The sequence below is a fragment of the Homo sapiens genome, chromosome 5, assembly GCF_000001405.40.
Source record: "Homo sapiens chromosome 5, GRCh38.p14 Primary Assembly".
Taxonomy (NCBI): domain Eukaryota; kingdom Metazoa; phylum Chordata; class Mammalia; order Primates; family Hominidae; genus Homo; species Homo sapiens.
Window position 1 is genome coordinate 100,448,510 of NC_000005.10, and position 14,245 is coordinate 100,462,754.

General features: G+C 33.6%; 1 long non-coding RNA gene across 1 annotated transcript in view; it reads right to left on the minus strand.

Moving 5' to 3' along the window:
• Window positions 1-2,404: 2,404 nt before the first annotated feature.
• Window positions 2,405-14,245, minus strand: part of FAM174A-DT (FAM174A divergent transcript) — an 84,330-nt gene continuing 72,489 nt past the window's right edge. The window contains exons 4-5 of the long non-coding RNA NR_172939.1: window positions 8,548-8,615; window positions 2,405-2,588 (exon numbers count right to left, since the gene is read on the minus strand). This is a non-coding gene — a long non-coding RNA (FAM174A divergent transcript). The remainder of the gene's footprint in view (window positions 2,589-8,547; window positions 8,616-14,245) is intronic.

Sequence of the window (14,245 nt, forward strand, 5' to 3'; positions counted from 1 at the left end):
AGTTTAGTATATTTAACTGATTATAAATAGGAAATAGATTATTTTACTAAAATAACAGACTTTTTTTCTAAAAACACTATTTCTTACTTACATACGGTTGTCAAATAGCTTTGAATGGCCTAGATTATTCACTCTATATACATTTATTCATTTTAGTCAACATCAAATTCCTATTATGGCTATCTATGCTATTCTATGCATCTCTCATAGCATGCTATAGTAGTTTGAGAAACTCAAGCCAAAAAAAAAAAAAGTGACTCTCTGTGCACAATCCATGCCAATGAGGCTTTGATAATCAGGCCAATCACTTAATTACAAGTTTGTATTTCTATTCCCACTGAGATGTGCCAATTAAAAGAATTTGACTTTAATTCCAAACAACATATTAGTCTAATTACCTGATGCACTGCCTGCTTTGAATTTTGTTTAACCTTGTGCGTGTATGTGTGTTTGTGTGTGTGTGTATTTAACACATGATCTGTAAAGTATTGTGAATTACAAGGTATAGACTATAATTTCAAAAATGAATCTGGGTCTACCTTTTCAAAACACCTTGTATCTTCACCCAGGTAACTTGAATTGCGTAAATAACAACTGTGTTTCATTGGTCTTGAAGGCCTCAAATTATTTAAACTGGTGGTCTCATTCCCTCTATGTTAGAAAAAAAATGTAAAAGCTCTTTTTCAGCTAATGATTAACATCACTGTGTAAAATAAATTTGATCATTTGAAATACTAACAAGGTGATTTATGCACATGCTGACTACCTTCATTTTTCAGGATATTGCAAATTAATCCTATCACTGCAGAAATTATGTGCTTTAGAGTTGCACAGCAAAAAATGATTGACAAGTCATAATCCTAAGGGACAGCTATACAAATTCAAATTATTATATTTCTAAGGTATTACTTAAAGAAGAACTAACTTTTCAGTTCTCCAACGAATTCAAGGTTTGGGAACTTTTTCCTTTGACTGAGAAATTAGAAGATGACAATGTCAAAAAAGTGAGAACTGTCAATGTTAGAACAGATCAAGTCTCAAGCAAAAACACTGCTGTCTGTCTGAGATCTAGAATCAAAGTGTAGAAATTATTTCCTCATGGGGCAGAGAAGAATAAGCCCCTAATTAAATGAAATAATGGCTCTAGGATATGTGACCTGACGAAAATTATAAAAATCAGAGATGATATTCAGAAGCTAGTTTAAAAGAAATTTTTTAAAACTCTGCATTTTATTTCTTCCAGATGTAGAATCCAGAAAAAGAACTTTAAACTTGAAGATACATCTCTCAAATGTACTTAATATTCAGAGTATAATTAAATTTTGCTCCTTTAAGACATATGCCTTTTAAAATTCTGAACCTTTCCATGTTCTGCACTGTAATAAATATAGTTGAATATTATCTTGTGAAATAGTTGACTCAAATTTATAATTTTAAATAAGCAGTGCTAAATAACAGAAAGGAAATGATAAATTGAATAAATGTAAACAATGATCATCTAAGTAGAATAAGAGAGCATGAATAATACTTTAACAAGAAATGCAACAGCAGGAACCAGATTCAGAAAAAATAATTCTTTTTCAGCTAGCTTGTTGTTCATGTATAGAAATAGTACCAATTATCATATGTTGATTTTGTATCCTTAAACTTTGCTGAATTTCTTGTCAGGTCTAAGAGTTTTTGATAGAGTCTTTAGGTTTTTGTATACACAAGTTTATATCATCTGCAAACAGAGATAAATTGACTTCTTTCTTTCTAGCACGGATTCCCTTTATTTCTTTCTCTGGGTAGGACTGCCAGTACTATGTTGAATAGAAGTGGTGACAGTGGGGATTCTTATCTTCTTCCAGTTCTCATAGGAAAAGCTTTCAGCTTTCCCCCGTTTGCTAGGTTAGCTGTGGGTTTGTCATATGTGACATTCATAGCCCTGAGCTACTTTCCTTCTAAACCCAATTTATTTAGAGCTTTTATCATATATCATTGTTAAATTGTATCAATTGTTTTTCCACACCTGTTGAAATGATCATATACTTTTTGTCCTTCATCTGGTTGATGTGATGTATCACATTTACTTATTTGCATATGTTGAAACATCCTTACAACCCTGGGATAAATCCCACTTAATCATGATGTATTATCTTTTTGATATGCTGTTGGATTCAGTTTGGTAATATTTTGTTGAGAATTTTTGCCTGTATGTTTATTAGGGATGTTGGCCTGTAGTTTTCCTTTTTTGGTGGTGTTTTTATCTAGTTTTGGAATCATGGTTATGTTGACCTCACAGAATGAGTTAGAAAGAATTCTCTCTGCTTCAGTGTTTTGGAATAGTTTTAGAAGAGGTAATATTAATTCTTCTTTAAGAGTTAAGTAGAATTCAGCAGTGAAACTATTTAGTCCTGGGCTGTTTCTTGGTGAGAGACTTTTTATTACTGATTAAATCCATTAGTTGTATTGGTGTGTTCAGGATTTTTACTTCTTGGTTGAATCTTAGTAGTTGCATTTATCCAGGGCTGTGTCCATTTCCTGTAAGTTTTCTTTTAATTTATTGGTGGATAAAGAAACCACGAAGTCCACTTCATTTACAATACCTATGAAAAATAGTTAGGAATAAATTTAACCAAATAGATGAAAGACCCCTACAAGAAAAACTGCAAAATAACAATTGAAGGGGATACAAACAAATGGAAACATACCCCATGCTCATGAATCAGAAGAATTAAGAAGATGAGCATACTGCCCAAAGAAATCTATGGATTCAATGCAATTTCTATCAACATACCAATAACATTCTTTAATGAAATTGAAGAAATATTCTGAAATTTGTAGGAACCATGAAAAAACCCATATGGGGAAAGCAATCCTAATTTAAAAAAAAACAAAGCTGGAGGCATCACACTACCACATTTCAAAAGATATTACAAAGCGATAGTAACCAAAACAGCATGGTACTGGCATGAAAATAGACACATAGACCAATGGAACAGAATAAAGAACTCAGAAATTAATTCATGCCTCTACAGGCAATGCATTTTTGACAAAGGTGCTAAGAGCATTCATCAGGGGAATGACAGTCTCTTCAATAAATTTTGCTGGGAAAACTGAATATCCATACACAGAAGAATAAAACTAAATACCCATCTCTCACCTCATAGAAAAGAAAAAAAAAACTCAAAATGAATTAATGACCTAATGTAAGACCTGAAACTATAAAACAACTAAAAGAAAACATAGGGAAAATGCTTCAGGACACTCACTTGGGGAAAGATTTTATAAATAAGACCCCAAAAGCATAGTCAACAAAAGCAAAAATAAACAATTGGGATTATATCAAACTAAAAAGCTTTTGCACAGCAAAAGAAACAATTAACAGAGTGAAAAGCAACCACCAGAATGGCAGAAAATATTTACAAACTGTTCATGCTATAGGGGATTAGCATCCAGAATATATAAAAACTCAAACATCTCAACAGCAAAAAAAAAAAAAAAAAAAAAAATCGAATTTAAAAAATGGGCAAATGATCCGAACAGACATTTCTCAAAGAAGGACATACAAATGACCAATAAATGAATTTTAAAATGCTTAACCTCACTAATTATCATGGAATGCAAATCAAGACCACAATGACATATCTTCTCACACAAATTAAGATGACTGGTATAGATAAGACAAAAAAAAAATAAATGCTTCTGAGGATGCAGAGAAAAAGTAACTCTTTTACACTGCTGGTGGAAATGTAAACTAGTACAGCCACTATGAATATGAGTTCCCTCAGAAAACTGCAAATAGAACTAACATATGACCCAGCAGTGTTACTCTTGGGCATTTATCCAAATGAAAAGAAATCAGTATATTGAAGAGACATCTGCACCCCCATGTTTATTGCAGAATTATTCACAATAGCTAAGATATAAATCAACCTAAGTGTCCAATAACAGATAAATGAATAGAGAAAATCTGGCATGCATATACATACACACACACACACACACACACAGACACACACACACAAACAATGAACTGCTATTCAGCTATGAAAAGGATGAAATCTTATCATTCCTAGATAGATGGAACTGGTTAACATTATACTAAGTAAAATAAGCTAGGAACAGAAAGTTGAACACAACACGTTCTCACTGAATTTTGAAGCCAGATTAAAAATAAGCTTATCTCATGGAAATAAAAACTAGAGCAGAGGCTACCAGAGGCTAAAAAGGGTAGGAAGAAGAAGAAAGGGAGAGATTTGCTAAAGGATACAAAATTACAACTAGACAGGAGGAATAAATTCTAGTGTTCTATAACACTGTAAGATGACTACAGTTACCAATAATACATAGTTTCAAATATCCAGAAGAAGTACATTGAATGTTCCCAACATGAATTATAAATGTTTGAGATAATAGATACGCTGATTATCCTGATCTGATCACTATATATGTACCAAAACACCACGACGTACTCCATAAATATGTAAAATTATTATGTTCCAATTAAAAATAAAGTATTGAAAATAGATGCTAAGGTAATATAAAATTATAGGAATTTACTGCAGAATTTTACAAGTAATCATGCGGATGAGCCTAAAGAAAACCCAGATACCTTTTCAAAATAACCAGCTGAGTGCCAGAAAGTCATTTCACTCTCTCTATCTAATCTATCTATCTATAGCAAAATGACTTTATACAGTAAGATATATTATATATATAGATATAATCTATAGATATATCAATATATACCTTATTGTAAATTCTCCCTCTAAACAAGGGTTTTTTTTAAGAAACTGAGGTCTTTCATGCTCCATATAGCAGTATAGCAGAGAAAAACTGGAACTCTTCATTTCTCAATGTAGAGAGTCTCAAAACCACATTTGTGACACACTCTTTTATACTATTACCAAAGGCTTGGTTTTAAACATCTCAGAACTAAAACACTGTACATAAGAAAGTTGTAAAAGAAGTTTAGAGAAGTATAACCGAAATGATTAGGAGAATATAGGTTTTGACTTGTGAAAAAAAGATTTTAATAAAAGAAGTCTCTATAACTGTCCAAAAAGATAACTAAAAGGTAAGACGATAAAAGCCTACAAATATATGGACAGTGTAAGAATAGGTAGGACAAGAAATTATTGAACATTTCAAAGAGGGAATTTCTAAAGTATAGAATGAACACATGGGTTGAGTTTAAATGAAAAGGCAGAATATCATAAAGAAAAAAATCTTCACGTATAGAATGGATTCCAGAGTGGTGGTTTTACGACTCATAAGGCAATATTTTGCGCACCCCTTCCCTGCTGCATGTATGCACACACTAATATCAATACATACACGTGATAATAAGAAACATATAAGAGGGACTCATTTGTAACTGGAACAGAACAGCGTAGGATTTTTCATTTACAATTTTCATGTTATAATCATTTCTGCTTTCACAGATGGCTATATTTATCTCTTAATAGATATAAGAATTATAATTTTGCATTAAATAAATATCTATCCATCCCATTCAGCACCCTATGATGCTGAGTGAAAAGCAGTAATAAGGAAGCCACTTGTAGAATTGTAGAAACTTTAGGCTTAAAGCTAAGGCACATTAATTCCTAAAGAATCATCATCTTACAAATGACTATCAAATGTCTGCATAAACCCTTTTTTATGCAGAATTTTTCAAATCCTGACAATACCTATGTCGTCTACAACATACACTGTTACACAGCCTTCCATTTTAGGGAGCTCTGTTTTATTCCACCTAACTTTATAACTATATATCCTAATTTTACTAATTCCACTTTTAAAGTTGTACAAAAACACATTTGAAGGCAGCTACCATAACAAACTTAGATAAAACTTTCCTATATGTTTTTTTCAAGGTCACATTATTTTGACATATGCTCTATCTCATCATAATCACTTCTATGTGTTCTTTTATTTATTGAGGTTTTTTTTTTTTAATTTGGTGCCAGGAGCTAACCATAATACAGTGAGTTCATTAAAAAAGAACCAGGATAAGTATAATTTATCTCAATTTACATTACAGGGAGAATACAGCAAAATAAGCCTTGGGCTCTCCACTTGCAATTAGGTAATTTGTATAGTAATGGAACAAAAATGTGAGAGACTCTTTGTCTTTATAAATCGTTATATGGCATGAGGGCTTTGCATGTGTGCTACTTTATAAAATCTCTGTAAATGACAGATGATACCCACTTCTCAAATGTGAAAGGAAAGTTGTAATTGAAGGTCATCTCTGTTTCCTCTCTCAGGAAGGCAAACAACTGATAAGGGATTTGGGGGAAGCTGGAGAAAGTTTTTGTGATTAACTAGTTTTCTCTACATCTCTTAAAGATGGTGGATAGGAGAAGACAAAATCCATTGCTTGGAAATTTATATATAAGATGGTACAAAGATATTGATCAGCAAAAAGCTGATGGAAATTGTGAATAATATTTTATTATATAATATTAAATTGAATTTCAATGCCAATGTTGAAAAACTATTTTTATTGGTACATATCACTTAGTGTTCTGCAACTTCCTTCTACTGATCTGTGAATTAATTACTTAGCAAAAACCTGGAAATTGCCCTGACATTATAGTAAGTCACTTACATGCCCCATATTGATATAATTAATGATGGACTAAAATATGAGAATTCCTGTATAAATTCTGGTACTGATATTTATTCAGTTTGATTTTTTCTAGGCAGAAAGTCTTACTTTTATGTATGTTAAAATTTATCTTATCAAATCTATTTTATTCTTTCTCTATGGTATTTCTCGATTCTGTTTCTGATATTTAAAAAGGACTATCATCTTGAAATATATTCTAACAAAATTTGATAAGCATGTTTTATAAATCCTCATTCAAATTAACCAGAAAAAAATGAGTAAGAGTATAATGGATGAAGATTTATACAATTAGAATCATTTTTCCTCAGCAAGAATATTAGTCAAGAAATTATATCTATCATTGCATAATGAGTTATTAATCCACCTAGTTGCACTAACATTCATCACATTCAAATATTATCTTCCTAATAGAAAAATATCATAAGGTGATTTGTGAAATGAATAGAAAAAGTCACACAGTGACATTTACCTATTGAATAAATATTTGTTTACATATCAAAACTAGCAACCTTAAAGAATAGTTGTTATAATAAAGAGATCCATAGTTTTTACAATGTTTGTACACACACGTCTGTTTTTATAGTAAACATATACAGATATATAGTGATAAATAGGTTATCTTCAATATACTCACAAAATGTTATGTTTATCTTGACATGTAAGTATTAAATTGAGAGCTATAACATATTCAATTTTCTCATGTTGAAAGAAACATTAAATAATTGCTGCAGCATAATATATAAAGAGCAAAGTGTTAAGGTCAGATGTCTAGAATCTTTGTTCTGACTCTGCCAAAATTAATTATTTAATTATTTAATATTATTTAATAATAGTAACTCATTATGCAATGATAGCCATAATTTCTTGACTAATAACTCTGAGAAAAAAAATGATTCTAATTGTATAAATCTTCATCCATTACACTCTTACTCATTTTTTTTTCTGAATAATTTGAATGAGGCTTTATAAAACATGCTTATCAAATTTTGGCTTCAGTTTATTCATTGAGACAATAAGAAAACTATATTAGATTATTTCCAATTCTATTTTCTTCCATATATCCTATGAGATCTAAATATATTTAATTTATATATGTGTTGTATTCCAGTCATCTGAAAAAGATTGTTTTGAATAACATTATTACAGTATCATTGATACTTAATGTTTTGAATGTAAACCTTGTATTTTAAAATATGCTATTGTTTGTTCTGCTGAAATGTATATCTATTTGACAGTCCTTTTTTTTAATTGAATATTGTGAAATTCTAATTGGCTTAAGTGATTGTCATTTCTTAAAACTTGAATACTCACTATCCACTATGGTTGTACTTTTTTGTCTCTTTTTTATTGGAAATGGACTTTGCGATATTCAATTATTAAATCTGTTTGGCTGAGAAAATGATATTTATCAAGTATTGAATTTGTTAGTCTACCAATACTATCTCAACTGCAAAAATGTCACACTATCTTGGCATCCTAAATGAAACAAGATACATTGGTTTTTGCTGAAATCTCTCCTCAAGTAAATGACCCAGAAAAATGCATGAAAATGTGGAATGGTACATGTAACATAATCACAAATTTCTCTCTCTAATTAGCTCTACAGGCCTTGGAAATGAAAACTGACACTACTTGATTCTTGCTCACACCCATGAAGACTCCCTCCTGCCACAACATTGTGATGTCATTCCTCTTTGGTCTTATTTTGTAGGTGGTTTAGCTTCTAACTAACACCATGATGGCCTCTGAGAAAACACACAGTTTCAGTCTAATCTGCTTTCTTCCATTCTCCCTGTTTTTCTCTACCTCTGCAACATAACCTTTAAATAGTATCTTTAAATGATTCTAAGGAAGTATCCAATGCTGCAGCTACCTGTAACACTGAGTGACTGTCATCCAGAAATAAAAGTTTGCATGTTACTCACATAGTGTTTGGGTTGTCATCATTGGCATTTGTTCCTTACTCTCAATGCTTCCTTTCTTCTAAGAGTAACTTTGGAGAACAACAGAAATATTTTTTCTTTTAATACAGATGCATCTTTTAAAGCTCTGCTTACCTCTACTATTACAACACAATAGCATTATAGGACTTGATTTTGAAATTTCCATTTCAAATAGACATGCTAATTTTTAAAAGAAAGTAAAAAATGTTTTAATGGTGAAATAACTGGAAGGTAATTACAAAATTAATAGTAATAATACTGTTGTTTTTTTCTTTCTAATATTTTCCTTGCAATTCTATCGGACTCCAAACTCATTAACATTATCATCATAGCATTTATTTTAGGGCAAAGAATGCTTTTATGTCAAAATCACATCAAAATGATCTTCACCAGCTGACTCTCATTTCACACAACGTTAAAATGGGCATATAAATAGAAGATGAAAATAAATAAAATATGTTAAGAACAGCTTTCTCTTAAAATAATTGTGTGCCTGTAGATACAAGTAACTTATAACCAATACATTTTGATAAGCTAAAATAAATATTCTATAAACAATCTTAATATATAATATATGAACTTTTAGTAATTTTTTCCTATGGCCCACAAGTAGCAAAAACAGATACTAGTCTTTTATTTCACCCAACTACTCCTTGAATACTAGAAAGGAACACATATCCTTAACATAAAATGTGAAGAACTCTGCACACATTCAAAATTTTTCAGTTAAATATATAATAACTTGGAGAGAGTAGCCACTGTAAATTCACAGTGCTTTATACAATGAAAATGATTATTCCCTACTGTCTTGGAAGAAATAAGGTTATAAACACATACGCCATGTCATGGCAAAATGCTAAACACAGTGAGGAAATACAATTTTTAAATTGTTTCATTAAGTCTTCTATACCCAAAGCTAATTCTGCCTTGATCTGAAGTATAATATATGAAAATATGTGGAGAGTGTGAAAAATGTGTAATGAAAGAAATCTATACATTTCCATTTGCTTAAAATGCATAAAGCCATTACTTTCTTATTATTATTATACTTTAAGTTTAGGGTACATGTGCACAATGTGCAGGTTAGTTACATATGTATAAATATGCCATGCTGGTGTGCTGCACCCACTACCTCGTCATTTAGCATTAGGTATATCTGCTAAAGCTATCCCTCCCCCCAACCAACCCCACAACAGTCCCCAGAGTGTGATGTTCCCCTTCTTGTGTCCATGTGTTCTCATTATTCAATTACCACCTATGAGTGAGAATATGCTGTGTTTGGTTTTTTGTTCTTGCAATAGTTTACTGAGAATGATGATTTCCAATTTCATCCATGTCCCTACAAAGGACATGAACTCATCATTTTTTATGGCTGCATAGTATTCCAAGGAGTATATGTGCCACATTTTCTTAATCCAGTCTATCATTGTTGGACATTTGACTTGGTTCCAAGTCTTTGCTATTGTGAATAATGCCGCAATAAACATACGTGTGCATGTGTCTTTATAGCAGCATGATTTATAGTCCTTTGGGTATATACTCAGTAATGGGATGACTGGGTCAAATAGTATTTCTAGTTCTAGATCCCTGAGGAATCGCCACACTGACTTCCACAATGGTTGAACTAGTTTACAGTCCCACCAACAGTGTAAAAGTGTTCCTATTTCTCCACATCCTCTCCAGCACCTGTAGTTTCCTGACTTTTGAATGATTGCCATTCTAACTGGTGTGAGATGCTATCTCATTGTGGTTTTGATTTGCATTTCTCTGATGGCCAGTGATGGTGAGCATTTTTTCATGTGTTTTTTGGCTGCAAAAATGTCTTCTTTTGAGAAGTGTCTGTTCATGTCCTTCACCCACTTTTTGATGGGGTTGTTTGTTTTTTTCTTGTAAATTTCTTTGAGTTCATTGTAGATTCTGGATATTAGCCCTTTGTCAGATGAGTAGGTTGTGAAAATTTTCTCCCATGTTGTGGGTTGCCTGTTCACTCTGATGGTAGTTTCTTCTGCTGTGCAGAAGCTCTTTAGTTTAATTAGATCCCATTTGTCAATTCTGGCTTCCATTGCTTTTGGTGTTTTAGACATGAAGTACTTGCCCATGCCTATGTCCTGAATGGTATTGCCTAGGTTTTCTTCTAGGGTTTTTATGGTTTTAGGTCTAATGTTTAAGTCTTTAATCCATCTTGAATTAATTTTTGTATAAGGTGTAAGGAAGGGATCCAGTTTCAGCTTTCTACATATGGCTAGCCAGTTTTCCCAGGACCATTTATTAAATAGGGAATCCTTTCCCCATTGCTTGTTTTTCTCAGGTTTGTCAAAGATCAGATAGTTTTAGATATGTGGCGTTATTTCTGAGGGCTCTGTTCTGTTCCATTGATCTATATCTCTGTTTTGGTACCAGTACCATGCTGTTTTGGTTACTGTAGCCTTGTAGTATAGTTTGAAGTCAGGTAGTGTGATGCCTCCAGCTTTGTTCTTTTGGCTTAGGATTGACTTGGCGACGTGGGCTCTTTTTTGGTGCCATATGAACTTTAAAGTAGTTTTTTCCAATTCTGTGAAGAAAGTCATTGGTAGCTTGATGGGGATGGCATTGAATCTATAAATTACCTTGGGCAGTATGGCCATTTTCACAATATTGATTCTTCCTACCCATGAGCATGGAATGTTCTTCCATTTGTTTGTATCCTCTTTTATTTCATTGAGCAGTGGTTTGTAGTTCTCCTTGAAGAGGTCCTTCACGTCCCTTGTAAGTTGGATTCCTAGGTATTTTATTCTTTTTGAAGCAATTGTGAATGGGAGTTCACTCATGATTTGGCTCTCTGTTTGTCTATTATTGGTGTATAAGAATGCTTGTGATTTTTGTACATTGATTTTGTATCCTGAGACTTTGCTGAAGTTGCTTATCAGCTTAAGGAGATTTTGGGCTGAGATGATGGGGTTTTCTAGATATACAATCTTGTCATCTGCAAACAGGGACAATTTGACTTCCTCTTTTCCGAATTGAATACCCTTTATTTCCTTCTCCTGCCTAATTGCCCTGGCCAGAACTTCCAACACTATGTTGAATAGGAGTGGTGAGAGAGGGCATCCCTGTCTTGTGCCAGTTTTCAAAGGGAATGCTTCCAGTTTTTGCTCATTCAGTATGATATTGGCTGTGGGTTTGTCATAGATAGCTCTTATTATTTTGAGATATGTCCCATGAATACCTAATTTATTGAGAGTTTTTAGCATGAAGGGTTGTTGAATTTTGTCAAAGGCCTTTTCTGCATCTATTGAGAGAATCATGTGGTTTTTGTCTTTGGTTCTGTTTATATGCTGGATTACATTTATTCATTTGCGTATATTGAACCAGCCTTGCATCCCAGGGATGAAGCCCACTTGATCGTGGTGGATAAGCTTTTTGATGTGCTGCTGGATTCGGTTTGCCAGTATTTTGTTGAGGATTTTTGCATCAATGTTCATCAAGGATACTGGTCTGAAATTCTCTTTTTTGGTTGTGTCTCTGCCAGGCTTTGATATCAGGATGATGCTGGCATCATCAGATGAGTTAGGGAGGATTCCCTCTTTTTCTATTGATTGGAATAGTTTCAGAAGGAATGGTACCAGTTCCTCCTTGTACCTCTGGTAGAATTTGGCTGTGAATCCATCTGGTCCTGAACTCTTTTTGGTTGGTAAGCTATTGATTATTGCCACAATTTCAGAGCCTGTTATTGGTCTATTCAGAGATTCAACTTCTTCCTCGTTTAGTCTTGGGAGGGTGTATGTGTCCAGGAATTTATCCATTTCTTCTAGATTTTCTAGTTTATTTGTGTAGAGGTGTTTGTAGTATTCTCTGATGGTAGTTTGTATTTCTGTGGGATTGGTGGTCATATCCCCTTTATCATTTTTTATTGCGTCTATTTGATTCTTCTCTCTTTTCCTCTTTATTAGTCTTGCTAGCGATCTACCAATTCTGTTGATCCCTTCAAAAAACCAGCTCCTGGATCATTAATTTTTTGAAAGGTTTTTTGTGTCTCTATTTCCTTCAGTTCTGCTCTGATTTTAGTTATTTCTTGCCTTCTGCTGGCTTTTGGATGTGTTTGCTCTTGCTTTTCTAGTTCTTTTAATTGTGCTGTTAGGGTGTCAATTTTGGATCTTTCCTCCTTTCTCTTGTGGGCATTTAGTGCTATAAGTTTCCCCCTACACATTGTTTTGAATGTGTCCCAGAGATTCCGGTAGGTTGTGTCTTTGTTCTTGTTGGTTTCAAAGAACATCTTTACTTCTGCCTTCATTTCGTTATGTACCCAGTAGTCATTCAGGAGCAGGTTGTTCAGTTTCCATGTAGTTGAGCGGTTTTGAGTGAGTTTCTTAATCCTGAGGTCTAGTTTCATTGCACTGTGGTCTGAGAGACAGTTTGTTATAATTTCTGTTCTTTTACATTTGTTGAGGAGAGCTTTACTTCCAACTATGTGGTCAATTTTGGAATAGGTGTGGTGTGGTGCTGAAAAAAATGTATATTCTGTTGATTTGGGGTGGAGAGTTCTGTAGATGTCTATTAGGTCCGCTTGGTGCAGAGCTGAGTTCAATTCCTGGGTATCTTTGTCAACTTTCTGTCTCGTTGATCTGTCTAATGTTGACAGTGGGGTGTTAAAGTCTCCCATTATTATTGTGTGGGAGTCTAATTCTCTTTGTAGGTCACTCAGGACTTGCTTTATGAATCTGGGTGGTCCTGTATTGGGTGCATATATATTTAGGATAGTTAGCTCTTCTTGTTGAATGGATCCCTTTACCATTATGTAATGGCCTTCTTTGTCTCTTTTGATCTTTGTTGGTTTAAAGTCTGTTTTATCAGAGACTAGGATTGCAACCCCTGCCTTTTTTTGTTTTCCATTGGCTTGGTAGATCTTCCTCCATCCTTTTATTTTGAGCCTATGTGTGTCTCTGCACATGAGATGGGTTTCCTGAATACAGCACACTGATGGGTCTTGACTCTTTATCCAATTTGCCAGTCTGTGTCTTTTAATTGGAGCATTTAGTCCATTTACATTTAAGTTTAATATTGTTATGTGTGAATTTGATCCTGTCATTATGATTTTAGCTGGTTATTTTGCTCGTTAGTTGATGCAGTTTCTTCCTAGCCTCGATGGTCTTTACATTTTGGCATGATTTTGTAGTGGCTGGTACCGGTTGTTCCTTTCCATATTTAGTGCTTTCTTCAGGAGCTCTTTTAGGGCAGGCCTGGTGGTGACAAAATCTCTCAGCATTTGCTTGTCTGTAAAGGATTTTATTTCTCCTTCACTTATGAAGCTTAGTTTGGCTGGATATGAAATTCGCGGTTGAAAATTCTTTCCTTTAAGAATGTTGAATATTGGCCCCCACTATCTTCTGGCTTGTAGAGTTTCTGCCGAGAGATCCGCTGTTAGTCTGATGGGCTTCCCTTTGTGGGTAACCCGACCTTTCTCTCTGGCTGCCCTTAACATTTTTTCCTTCATTTCAACTTTGGTGAATCTGACAATTATGTGTCTTGGAGATGCTCTTCTCGAGGAGTATCTTTGTGGCGTTCTCTGTATTTCCTGAATCTGAATGTTGGCCTGCCTTGCTAGATTGGGGAAGTTCTCCTGGATAATACGCTGCAGAGTGTTTTCCAACTTGGTTCCATTCTCCCCGTCACTTTCAGGCACACCAATCAGACATAGATTTGG